Source organism: Homo sapiens, chromosome 8 (assembly GCF_000001405.40).
Source record: "Homo sapiens chromosome 8, GRCh38.p14 Primary Assembly".
Classification (NCBI taxonomy): Eukaryota; Metazoa; Chordata; class Mammalia; order Primates; family Hominidae; genus Homo; species Homo sapiens.
Window position 1 is genome coordinate 22,565,530 of NC_000008.11, and position 10,790 is coordinate 22,576,319.

At 57.0% G+C, this 10,790-nt stretch overlaps 1 protein-coding gene across 12 annotated transcripts in view, besides 5 other annotated features; it reads left to right on the forward strand.

Moving 5' to 3' along the window:
- Positions 1–10,259, forward strand: part of SORBS3 (sorbin and SH3 domain containing 3) — a 30,816-nt gene extending 20,557 nt beyond the window's left edge. For 9 of the 12 annotated variants that reach the window (XM_047421214.1, XM_047421216.1, XM_047421215.1 and 6 more), the window contains 10 exons: positions 297–343; positions 816–955; positions 1,132–1,184; positions 1,293–1,339; positions 1,532–1,646; positions 3,619–3,744; positions 5,381–5,692; positions 6,189–6,292; positions 6,811–6,917; positions 9,138–10,259. In XM_047421214.1, coding sequence (XP_047277170.1) covers positions 297–343; positions 816–955; positions 1,132–1,184; positions 1,293–1,339; positions 1,532–1,646; positions 3,619–3,744; positions 5,381–5,692; positions 6,189–6,292; positions 6,811–6,917; positions 9,138–9,199 — 1,113 coding nt within the window. In that variant the 3' untranslated portion in view covers positions 9,200–10,259. Of the gene's footprint in view, positions 1–199; positions 344–459; positions 715–815; positions 956–1,131; positions 1,185–1,292; positions 1,340–1,531; positions 1,647–3,618; positions 3,745–5,380; positions 5,693–6,188; positions 6,293–6,810; positions 6,918–9,137 lie in introns of those variants that run through there. The other 3 variants (NM_001018003.3, XM_017012945.2, XM_017012946.2) reach the window with 3 other exon arrangements.
- Positions 156–715: a silencer, noted in NCBI's record as "silent region_18991". NCBI's record gives its function as "represses an Ori minimal core promoter by ATAC-STARR-seq in GM12878 lymphoblastoid cells {active_cell/tissue: GM12878}" and the evidence as "EXISTENCE:reporter gene assay evidence [ECO:0000049][PMID:35858748]".
- Positions 6,351–7,042: an enhancer, noted in NCBI's record as "H3K4me1 hESC enhancer chr8:22429393-22430084 (GRCh37/hg19 assembly coordinates)". NCBI's record gives its function as "activates a minimal SCP1, AML or CMV promoter by ChIP-STARR-seq in primed H9 embryonic stem cells {active_cell/tissue: H9 hESC(primed)}" and the evidence as "EXISTENCE:reporter gene assay evidence [ECO:0000049][PMID:30033119]".
- Positions 7,043–7,733: an enhancer, noted in NCBI's record as "H3K4me1 hESC enhancer chr8:22430085-22430775 (GRCh37/hg19 assembly coordinates)". NCBI's record gives its function as "activates a minimal SCP1, AML or CMV promoter by ChIP-STARR-seq in primed H9 embryonic stem cells {active_cell/tissue: H9 hESC(primed)}" and the evidence as "EXISTENCE:reporter gene assay evidence [ECO:0000049][PMID:30033119]".
- Positions 8,799–9,517: an enhancer, noted in NCBI's record as "H3K4me1 hESC enhancer chr8:22431841-22432559 (GRCh37/hg19 assembly coordinates)". NCBI's record gives its function as "activates a minimal SCP1, AML or CMV promoter by ChIP-STARR-seq in naive H9 embryonic stem cells {active_cell/tissue: H9 hESC(naive)}" and the evidence as "EXISTENCE:reporter gene assay evidence [ECO:0000049][PMID:30033119]".
- Positions 8,907–9,056: a silencer, noted in NCBI's record as "silent region_18992". NCBI's record gives its function as "represses an Ori minimal core promoter by ATAC-STARR-seq in GM12878 lymphoblastoid cells {active_cell/tissue: GM12878}" and the evidence as "EXISTENCE:reporter gene assay evidence [ECO:0000049][PMID:35858748]".

Consider the following 10,790-nt stretch of genomic DNA (forward strand, 5'->3'; position numbering starts at 1 on the left):
AATACAGGGCGTCGACTTTCGCAAGTGACCCCGAGGAGCCTTTCTAAGCGGACTCCACGTCAGCCCGACGACCGGGCGCCCGCCCCGTCCGGCCCCCGGGCCCCAGCCTCGGGGACCCCCGCCCCTTCCCCTAGTTCCCGCCCCGCTCCCGGGATCGGCCGCGCGGGCGCCTCTAGGACCCCGCGTCCCGCCCGCTCTCCTCCCCTCCCGAGCCGCGAACTTTTCCGGAGGCGGCGGCCTCGGCTGCCGCTGGGTCCCGGGGTCGCGGGCCCTGATTGCGCCGTTTCCCCGCGCAGAGCTCGCCGGCGCCCCGACGGGCCCCGGAGCAGCGGCCCCCGGCCGGGTGAGTGGGAGACGCGGGAGGAGGAAGGGGGCTGTCCCAGGCCGGGCGGGAGGGAACGTGGCGCGGCCGGGCGGGGCGGACGGGGGCGATCGCGGGGCCCAGCCGGGGGAGGAAGGAACCGCAGAGCCGTGTCCGGGAGGGACCGCAGCGCCACTCTCTGCGGGGCGCCGTTCCCGCGCCACCGAGGGCAGCTAACTCCTAGCAGAGGACCGGGGTCGCGGCCGCCGGGGGCGCAGCGCGGTTAGGGCGGCCCCGCCACGGCCCAGGCACTCCCGCTGGGCCCTGCCGGGCCTCACCCTTCCCCGCGCAGCGACTCGGGAAGTAGGACATCCTGTGGAGAGCCCAGGACCCGGGAGACGCCCTGGGAGGAGGTGGCAGGGATGGGGGCGATGGGGGGTCAGAGCGGTCTAGGGGTGACCAGGGTGGGGTGCGGAGCCCCAGGCTGGAGGCTCAGTCTCTGTGCCCCGTGCAGCCCGGCCTCAGCCTGGAGCTCCAGCTACCCACATGCACCTTACCTGGGTTCCGCCCGGTCCCTGAGTCCCCACAAAATGGCTGATGGAGGAAGCCCCTTCCTAGGTCGGAGGGACTTTGTCTACCCTTCCTCAACCCGAGGTAAGGACCCAGCCCTGCTCTCTTTCTCACGGAGATGCCCACCCACCAGGCATGTTGGTGCCCCAGGGGTGGCAGGTCACAGAGCCCCTTGCTTCTGCCAGTGCCTGCCCTAGGTGGGGGTGCAACCCCATCCCCCAGGTATGGCCTCCCCAAGCTGAGGTTGTGCTTCTCCACAGACCCTAGTGCCTCTAACGGAGGGGGCAGCCCAGCCAGGAGGGAAGAGAAGAAGGTAAGGAGGGGACCAGGTGTGGGGGACCTGGAGTGGTCCCAAGGCTGCCATCCTGGATCTGCCACCCGCCCAACTGAGAGAGCCCACTCTGTCCTCTCCCCTGCCTAGAGAAAGGCCGCCAGGCTCAAGTTTGACTTCCAGGCGCAGTCCCCCAAGTAAGCGCCCTCCTCCCCCTCCCCTTCCACCCAAGGCAATCTCTGCCATCCCAGAGGGGGATGGGGAGGGGGACTGGGCTGCAGTGGGCATCCCCAAGGGGTGAGAGAACTGGGGTGTGTTGGGCAGGGTCTGAAGGGAAGGAGGCTTGGGAAGGCTTCAGCTTACCCTGCGGTCCTCGTCCCCACCTGCAGGGAGCTGACTCTGCAGAAGGGTGACATTGTCTACATCCACAAGGAGGTGGACAAGAACTGGCTGGAGGGAGAGCACCACGGCCGCCTGGGCATCTTCCCTGCTAATTATGTGGAGGTGAGCAGGAGAGACAAGAGCAAGTGGGGCTGGGCTGGGAGGGCGCAGGGGTTGGGAGAGACTTAGTGCAAACCTTGGGTTTCCTAAAGCAAAAAACTGTGAGGGGCTGGGGCGTGTCTCGGAACTGTCCTTGGCCCCCACAGGGCTTGGCCCAATGCTGTGCATGACCCCAGGAAATGTTTGCTAAATGAGGGTGGAGCCTAGCCCAGGGGAGGACCCAGCAGCCAGCTCCTCAACCATTCGTGTCCCAGACTTTCACCATTCAGATCCGTCTTTCTAAAGCTGTCTTTGGAAATCATCCTAATGGCAACTAGCAAGAGTGGGAAGTGTGCGACAGTTTATAAATCACGTATACACGCATAACCTCTTTCAGGTGTATTACCGCCCTGGTTCCTCTCACTGCCCAGAGAGTGATAGATTATCTCTGTTTTACAGATGGGGATGCCAAGGTTCAGTGAAAAGTTATTAAGTAAAAGATCCAGAATCTGAATCCAGGTCTTTTGATTCCAGAGACAGGTTCTGGGCTTGACAGATAAAGGGCGATAGGTTATCTTTGCTATTTGTGACTTTTAAAATATGTCAAGTTATCCAAATTACTGGCATAAAGGTGTTCATTATAGTCTCTTACTATCCTTTTCATGTCAGTAAAATATGTAGTGATGTCTTCTCTTTCTTTTTTTTTTTTTTGGAGAGACAGAGTCTTGCTCTGCTGTCCAGGCTGGAGTGCAGTGGCGGGATCTTGGTGCACTGCAACCTCCACCTCCCTGGTTCAAGGGATTCTCCTGCCCCAGCTTCCTAAGTAGCTGGGACTACAGGAATGCGCCACCACGCCCAGATAATTTTTGTAATTTTTTAGTAGAGATGAGGTTTCACTATACATTGGCCTGGCTGGTCTCGAACTCCTGACCTCAGGTGATCCACCCGCCTCAGCCTCCCAAAGTGCTTGGGTTACAAGCGTGAGCCACTGTGCCCGGCTGATATGTTCTCTTTCATTCCTGATGTTGGCAATTTGCGTCTTCTCTTATTCTGTCTAGAGCTTTATTAATTTACTTGATCTTTGGATTTTATTCATGTTTTTCTCTCGTTTTTGTTTTCGATTTCATTGAGTTCTGCTTCTTATTTGCTTATTGTTGCTTGCTTTTGGTTTAATTTGTTATTTTTCTAAGTTTCTTAGGATGAAAGTTTAGACTATTGATTTGAAACATTTTTCCCTAGAATGCTGCTTTAACTGCATCTCACACATTTTGATTTTTCATCAACTCTTGACTGTTTTCTCATCTCGTCTGTGACTTCCTCTTTGACCCATGGGTTGGGTTGTTGTTTAATTCAGGCTCTTGTTTTGATAGGTATCATTAGGCCTCCCTTGCTTACACGATGATCCACTTGGTCCTGAAATTTCACAAAGTATATACAGTATTTCACTCCGCCAGTCGTTTCTATCTTTGTGTGAAATGGTTTATTGGCTGCTTGATTTTTATGGGCAGAGTGAAGCAAAGAGAACGTGAGGATTCTGGGCTCCGGCTGGGGTAGATGGGGAGGAAGAACCGAGACGCTGGAACCCAGGGACACCCGGTTCTCAGCAGTGAGAAAAGGGTGAATGCTCAGTTTTGGAACAGTTCCCCAAGTTCCCCTTGCTGCTTGGAACGCCTCATTTTCTTCTGTGGTCCAACTTAAACTCTCTAATTGGACTGGCTTCCATCTTTTCTCTTGGAGTTCTTCACTTCAGTAATGCCCACTCCATATATCCCTATGGAAAATTCTTCTTCCAGGGAGCGTTCCCAGACTCCTCCCCATCCTCCAGCACCCTTTGGCTGTGCCCACCCGTGGCTGCCCCCAGGGCTTGTGTCTGGTGTTTATATCTTTTCTCTGCCTAGGGGCGGGCCCACCTTCTCTTTGCTGTCTCACAGGAACCCCCAGCCTGTGCTATGTTGATGCCCAGGCCAAATCTTTCTCATGACCTTTCTTCATGCAGGTGCTGCCCGCAGATGAGATCCCTAAGCCCATCAAGCCCCCGACCTACCAGGTGCTGGAGTATGGAGAGGCTGTGGCCCAGTACACCTTCAAGGGGGACCTGGAGGTGGAGCTGTCCTTCCGCAAGGTGGGCCAGGCCGGAGACGGAGGGGTGGGTGGGGGCAGGTGAAGATGTAGGTAAATATGTGCACTAAAAACAGTTTTTTTTTTTTGAGACAGAGTCTCACTCTATCGCCAGGCTGTAGCGCAGTGGTGCCATCTCGGCTCACTGCAACCTCCGCCTCCCGGGTTCAAGCAATTCTCCTGCCTCAGCTTCCCGAGTAGCTGGGACTACAGGCACGCGCCACAACACCCAGCTAATTTTTGTATTTTTAGTAGAGACAGGGTTTCACGATGTTGGCCAGGATGGTCTCAGTCTCTTGACCTCATAATCCACCCGCCTCAGCCTCCTAAAGTGTTGGGATTACAGGCGTGAGCCACCGCGCCTGGCCTAAAAACACTTCTTTAAAAAAGAGTCCGATGTACCTAGCTTCACCCAGGATTTCAAAGTTTTCCCCAGTCTCTTTCATTATGCTTCCTTTAGTGTAGTGGCTTTTTTTTGCTTTTTTTTGAGACAGCATCTCACTATGTTGCCCGGGCTGACCTTGAACTCCTGGGCTCAAGCGATCCCCTGTCCCTGCCCCAGCCTCCCAAGTAATTTTGGTCCATTTTTAAAAGATCATCATAAACTTCTAGAGTTACATATATATTTTTTCAACTGCAGGTTGCAGGGGATCATACTCAGCATTTTTAAAGGTATAGACAGAAATGTTAGCATGCGTTGCGAGCAGAAAGCACTTTATCATACCGTAGGCAGTTCTGTGTATGCACATATATATGTATTCTGGGCTGTTATTAAAACATTTTTAACTGTAGATTGTGGTGAAACAAGTTTGAAAAATGCTGTTCTAGAAAGCAGGGAAGTGGTCTGCCTTTGGTTGATTTTGGGAGCAGTGATCATGCTCCCAAAATAAGCGAAAGACGGCCCATAGTGAATGCCTCCCAGAAGAGCTGGCCCCAGGGACAGAGGGGGAAGAAGGTGGCTGGATGGAGACAGATGGGGGCAGGAGAGGACAGGGGAAGGCAAGGGCTGGAGGCCACCCTCCCAGGGGGTGGTTCTACCTAATGTCAGCCAGCCTGTGGCCTTCAGGACTCCCTGCCTGTCCTGGGGAGTGTGTTTTTGACACGCTCATGACAAGGTCCCCCAGCGTGAGGCAGGAACAGGACCCAGGCAGGGCAGTAGTGGTAGCACCTGTCCAGTGTGTCTAAGGAGTGGACTGTTGATCTCGTTCACACCTCATAGTGACAGTATGGTTATTTTCACTTAACATAGGAGAAAACAAGGCTCAGAGAGACAGAGCAGGCTGCCTGAGGCCACACAGCTTGGCCTGGTGGAGCTGGGTTTGGATCTGTATTATTAGCCACGGGCTCACCTGTGATCGGAGCTCTGGGGAGGGACCTTGCTATGAACGCCGAAGGGGGATGCACACCCGTTGAGCTTCCAAGAGGCAGGACCCAGTCTCAGCCTCAGCCTTGCCTGGGCAGCCTGGGCTTGGCTCCTGGCTCCTGCTCTTACCGTGTGACTCGGGTAAACTGCTGGCCCCCTGCGATTCCGACCCCTCGTGTGTCCAAGGTGTTAGGGTTGAATGAGACAGCCCAGATAAGGCACCCGTGGGTCCATGGCACCAGGAAGGCCCCACAGACACTGACTTTTCCCCCCTCAGGGAGAGCACATCTGCCTGATCCGCAAGGTGAACGAGAACTGGTACGAGGGACGCATCACGGGCACGGGGCGCCAAGGCATATTCCCTGCCAGCTACGTGCAGGTGTCTCGTGAACCCCGGCTCCGGCTCTGTGACGACGGCCCCCAGCTCCCCACGTCTCCCCGCCTGACCGCTGCCGCCCGCTCAGCCCGTCACCCCAGCTCCCCCTCAGCCCTGCGCAGCCCAGCTGACCCCATCGACTTGGGGGGACAGACCTCCCCCCGTCGCACTGGCTTCTCCTTCCCCACCCAGGAGCCTAGACCCCAGACCCAGGTGAGGTAGCCTGCCTCCACCAGAGAGTCGACCTCCTCCTCACCCCTCATCCCCCACCCCCGTGACTTGTCCACACTTGGGACTCCTTCCCAGACAGCCCTGGGACATAGGAGTGGGGTGACAGGGCAGAAGCTAGTATGGCAGCCCCACCCTGGCCTGGGGGACCTCAACCTACCGAGCTCTAGCCGAGGGAGCTCTAGATGGAATCCCAAAGCCGGCCCAGGCTCCTGACCCTGGGTGTTCTTGGTTCATCCATGCTGGCGTCCAGAAACCCAGGCACTGACCTTACTTGGGCCTCAGTTTTCTGGCCCCTGTGAAATGAAATAGTCACAGCAGGTGTCCCTGTGCCCTGGGGGTTTGGAGGCTAAGATGAAGCCGTTTGTAAGGCGTGCTGGCAGGTGGACTGGGAACGCCCATTTTGGGCCTCCTCCCTCAGGCTTACATGTACCCATCGTCTTCCTCCCTCTGACATCCCTTTCTTCCTGTCAACTCCCAGAATCTTGGCACCCCTGGTCCAGCTCTGTCCCACTCTCGAGGTCCCAGCCATCCCCTGGACCTGGGGACCTCCTCTCCTAACACCTCTCAGATACACTGGACCCCGTGAGTACCATCTGAGGGCTCTTGATCAGACGTGGGGGGGGTCACTGGCAGGCAATGCCCCATATTCCACCCTCCCCCAAGTCCCCACCTGTGGATTTGGGAAACTTCTACCAGGTAGCCCTTGTCCTCGAAGAGCTTATGGTGATTTGGGGCAGGGAGGAGGCGCTGGTCTGTGATGTTCCCAATCCCTCCTGGCAGCTATGTGGCCTTGTGGCCTTGGTCTCCTCATTGGGTTTCTAGCCCTGAGGTCGGTGCATGTATAATTGAAGTGTGGAACTGGTGGAATGGACAGGAAGGCACCAGGTGCTCAGAGGAGGCGAGGGTTCAGTGCTTAGGGCCCAGAGGGCAGGAGGCAGGCCTGGGAAAGACTACGGTGAGCACAGGCTGAGTTGCTCTGAGGAGCTGGATCAGGGGCTAGTGAGAGCATGAAGGGACCCTGGGGCATTCACAGGAAGCGGCAACACTTGGGTTAGAGCCTCTGGGCCCATTCTCTGGTTGCCATGATACGCTTCTCGCAGGTACCGGGCGATGTACCAGTACAGGCCCCAGAACGAAGACGAGCTGGAGCTGCGCGAGGGGGACAGGGTGGATGTCATGCAGCAGTGTGACGATGGCTGGTTTGTGGGTATGTGGGCAGGCCGGGAGGGGGCATCTCAGGGCCCCAGGGGATGTGGGTGGGGTGCTGTTGCCTGCCAGTGCTGCTTCAGCAAAGATTCATGGCCGACCACCCCCCGACTCAGCTTCCGGCCGGGCTACTGGGGGGGCCTGGCACCCGATGCTTCCCCAAAGCCAGCCCTTCTGTTGGCTGCCTTCCTTCATGAAGAGGCCAAGGCCCAGGAGGAAACTGGCACCAGTCCAGGGTCACTGATGGAGTCAGTGGGGACCCAGGCCAGGGTTCCCAACGTCCAGAGCTCTGCCTCTTCCTCCTGCACACCCCTGCCTCGAGCAGCCCTGGGGGAGAGCTCCTGGTGGAAAGGACCAGGGCTCACACTTGACCTAGCTGGCTCCTCCAGCCTGGGAGGAAGAGGGAATGGAGAAAGGTCCCAGCCCCTCAGGGCTGGCCCAAGGGCAGCTCTGACCAAGGACAAATGCAGGAAGCCTCAGGTTGGCCTCAGCCTGAATCAAGGTGACCAACCCACCAGGCTTCACATGGCCTCTTTCCCCAGAGTGGGCGGGCCCTGTGCAGGTCTCATCTTCAAAGGATGGGCCGTCCCCAGAGAGAAGAGAGTGGCCAGAAGCCCCCTGCCCTGCCCCAAGCAGGCTTTGAAGCCTGAGGAGTTGGGGGGCTGCTTGGGCAGCCCCTTGACCTGGCAGCCCACCCTTCCTGATCTGATCCCAGTACAGCTGCCAGCCAGCTGTACTGACCCACCCAGGACCATTAAGCACTAGCCTGTGAATGGCCCCTACCTTCTAGTGGGGGAGGGAGGGAGGCGGTGCTTGGAGATGCATTCAAATTTACTGGATACACTTTTGCTTTGGAATTTTTTTACAACTACTAATAAAGTTTTGCAAACCTATGCAGACAAGAAGAAAAAGTACCACTTTTGTATTAGGAGCCACAAGCGCTTTGAGAGGAATGGGCGAGACCTGTGCCCTTTCCGGTATGGCAGCCACCGGCGGCATTCAGCTGTTGAAATGTAGCTCAAATGAAATAAATTAAAAATCCAGTTCCTCAGTTGCACAGGCACATCTCAAGTGCCCAACAGCCACAGGTGGCGAGTGGTGCCCATTTTAGTTAGTGCAGGTCAGGGAAGGCTTCCTGGAGGAAATGAGGGAGCTGGGCCTGGAAGGGCAGGGGAAGGATTTGGGGAGGCCAAGAGGAAAGGGAGGTACTCGGGGCAGAGGACGAGGGTGGGGGTGGGACGAGCACGGGCTGCCCCCAAGGAAGTCAGGGTGCCAGCCTGGAAGGGGAGGCCCAGGATCATCCATTCACCCAAGGTCAGGAGTGACGTTCATTTCAGTTTATATTCCTATTTTTCTATATATAGGAATATAATAATATTTATTACATTTCTGTATTTCTATATTTCTCCATTCCCTCTTCCTCCCAGGCTGGAGGAACCAGCTGGGGGGTGTGGGGATACACAGGTGTGAGCCCTGGTCCTTTCCACCAGGCGCTCTCCCCAAGGGCTGCTCCAGAGGCAGGGGTGTGCAGGGAAAAGGGGCAGGGCTCTGAAGGTCGGCAACCCCGGCCTGGGTCCCCAGTGACTCCATCAGTGACCCTGGGGTGGTGCCAGTTTCCTCCAGGGCGTCCTTCTCTTCATGGCACGAAGGAAAGCAGCCAACAGAAGTGCTGGCTTTGGGGAAGCATCGGGTGCCAGGCCCCCCAGATGCTTTGCCCGCTGGGGTTCCCCCCCCTCCTCCTCTTCAAGACACGAGTTTCTGTGGGGCTGAGAGGCCTGGATCGGAGTCCCAAGCTTACTCCTAAGCGTCGGGGTGCTCTCGGGCAATGCATTCAGCCTTCCCATAGGCCTTCCCACCCATCTCTAAGTGAGGGTGCCCTATTAGACCAGGGACGTTTCTCCCGATTTCAGTTCTGTGATTCCTCCTCCTGTGTCCCCACTTTGCGGAGGAGGGGGGGAGTGACTCTGCTGTGTACAGTGTGATGCACATTTGTTGATTGCTCAGATTCTTTGGTGGTTGAGTGTGGGAAGTGTAGCTTTGCCCATCTAAGCTTCTGCCGCTAGGGGGCAGGAAGGAGGAGAGCAAATCCAATTCCCTCTCTGGGCTCCCCTACAGAACTCCCCTACAGTTCTGGGCACTGCCGGCAGGGGGCAGGCCCTCACCCCTGCATCCCTGTTAAAGAAGGGAGTGGGGAAAGCTCTTCCTGCCTTTCCTCTTTCAGGTGTCTCCCGGAGGACCCAGAAATTCGGAACGTTCCCTGGAAATTACGTTGCCCCGGTGTGAGTGGTCTCCATGGCAACTTGGAGCCAGCCAGGATGGGGTGGGGAGCGGTGGCACTCGTGGGAGGGAGAGGACCCCCGCCCACATCCTCCTTCCCCAGGACCTGAGCTCCCAGCATCTGCAGACGACCCCCGCAGCCTTTCCCTCGGACCCCCCTCGAAGCCCCCTGGACTGATTCCCACCCACGACTCACAGGCATTCCTCCCACAGCCCTTTCATTTCCTCCCCACCCCACTCCCCAAATACAGAGGTCTGCTTTGAAGCGGAGACCATTTCCAGGCCTTATTGAGACCAGACCCCAAGTCCCCCACCCCCATCCTGCTCCAGCGTTTCCTCTAACAGGGACCAGCTCTCCGCTTTGCCCCCACGGGGTTCCTCTAACCAGAACCAGCTTCCTAGCCTCGTAGAGACCAAAGGCCGCCCCCGCCTGCTGGGGTTCCTCCCAGCACCCCAGCTTGCTGGCTGCCCTCTTTGCCTTCTGGCCTCCAGCTGGGTGTGGGGGGGCGGAGCAAGGCGGGGGACAGACGCAGCACCTTCTTAGCGATCTAGGCCTGGCAAGAGCTCTGGCCCCAAGGCCTCCTCTTCCCAGGGGCTGCCAAGTCCTGGCCCTGGCCCTGGCATATCACCCCGCACTGTGGGGCCAGGCACCACTAGCCTGGCTCAAATATTCCCCAGGGAGACTGCTGTGTGCTGCCCGCCTGCCTGCTGGCTCTCCCCCAGCCCCACATCCCCTCTGGAAGAGAATGTAAAATAAACCTGGACACAAGGGACCTTGTCTCTGCGGCCTTTTCCTTGGGGTAGGGGATGCCTCCTCCTGTCTAGGAGATGGGAATTCCTTCTGTGGAGGGCTGTGCTGGGAGACAGGTGGGACAGGTGTGTGTGTAAGAGGAGGAGGATGGAAAAACACCATTATTACCTCCAAAGATCTCTGCCCTTGGGTGTCAGGCAGGTTGCGGCAGCCCCCACAATTGGGCAGCTGTGTGGCAAGAAGTGCTGGGAGAATGAACAGTGCCAGGCCCTGGTAGCAGGGAGACACCAGAGATGGGGGACTGAATGTGGCCTTGTTTGCAGACTGTTTTGATTCTGGAGCTGCCACCGTGGGGTTGCTGGGCTAGATGACATTTCTAACTATTCTGCTGTTTTCCTTCTGTGTGCTCTGTTTCCACACCGAAGCCCTTGTGTGTGTGTGTGTGTGTGTGTGTGTGTGTTTATTCTCCTCTTTGGGCTCAGGCTTTTGAGCAATCCTTTGCGGGAAGCTGGGAGTGGTCAAGCACAGCCAGCCAAAACTCCTCTTGAACAAGGGTGTTTTGTTTGTTTGTTTGTTTTTTGTTGTTTTTTTTCTGTGTGAGATGGGGTCTCATTCTTTCGCCCAGGCTGGAGCGCAGTGGCCCGATCTCGGCTCACTGCAGTCTCTGCCTCCCGGCTTCAAGCAATTTTCCCACCTCAGCCTCCTGAGTAGCTGGGATTACAGGGTTGCGGCACCATGCCCAGCTAATTTTTGTATTTTTAGTAGAGATGGGGTTTCACATGTTGGCCAGGCTGGTCTCGAACTCCTGACCTCAGGTGATCCACCCACCTCGGCCTCCCAAAGTGC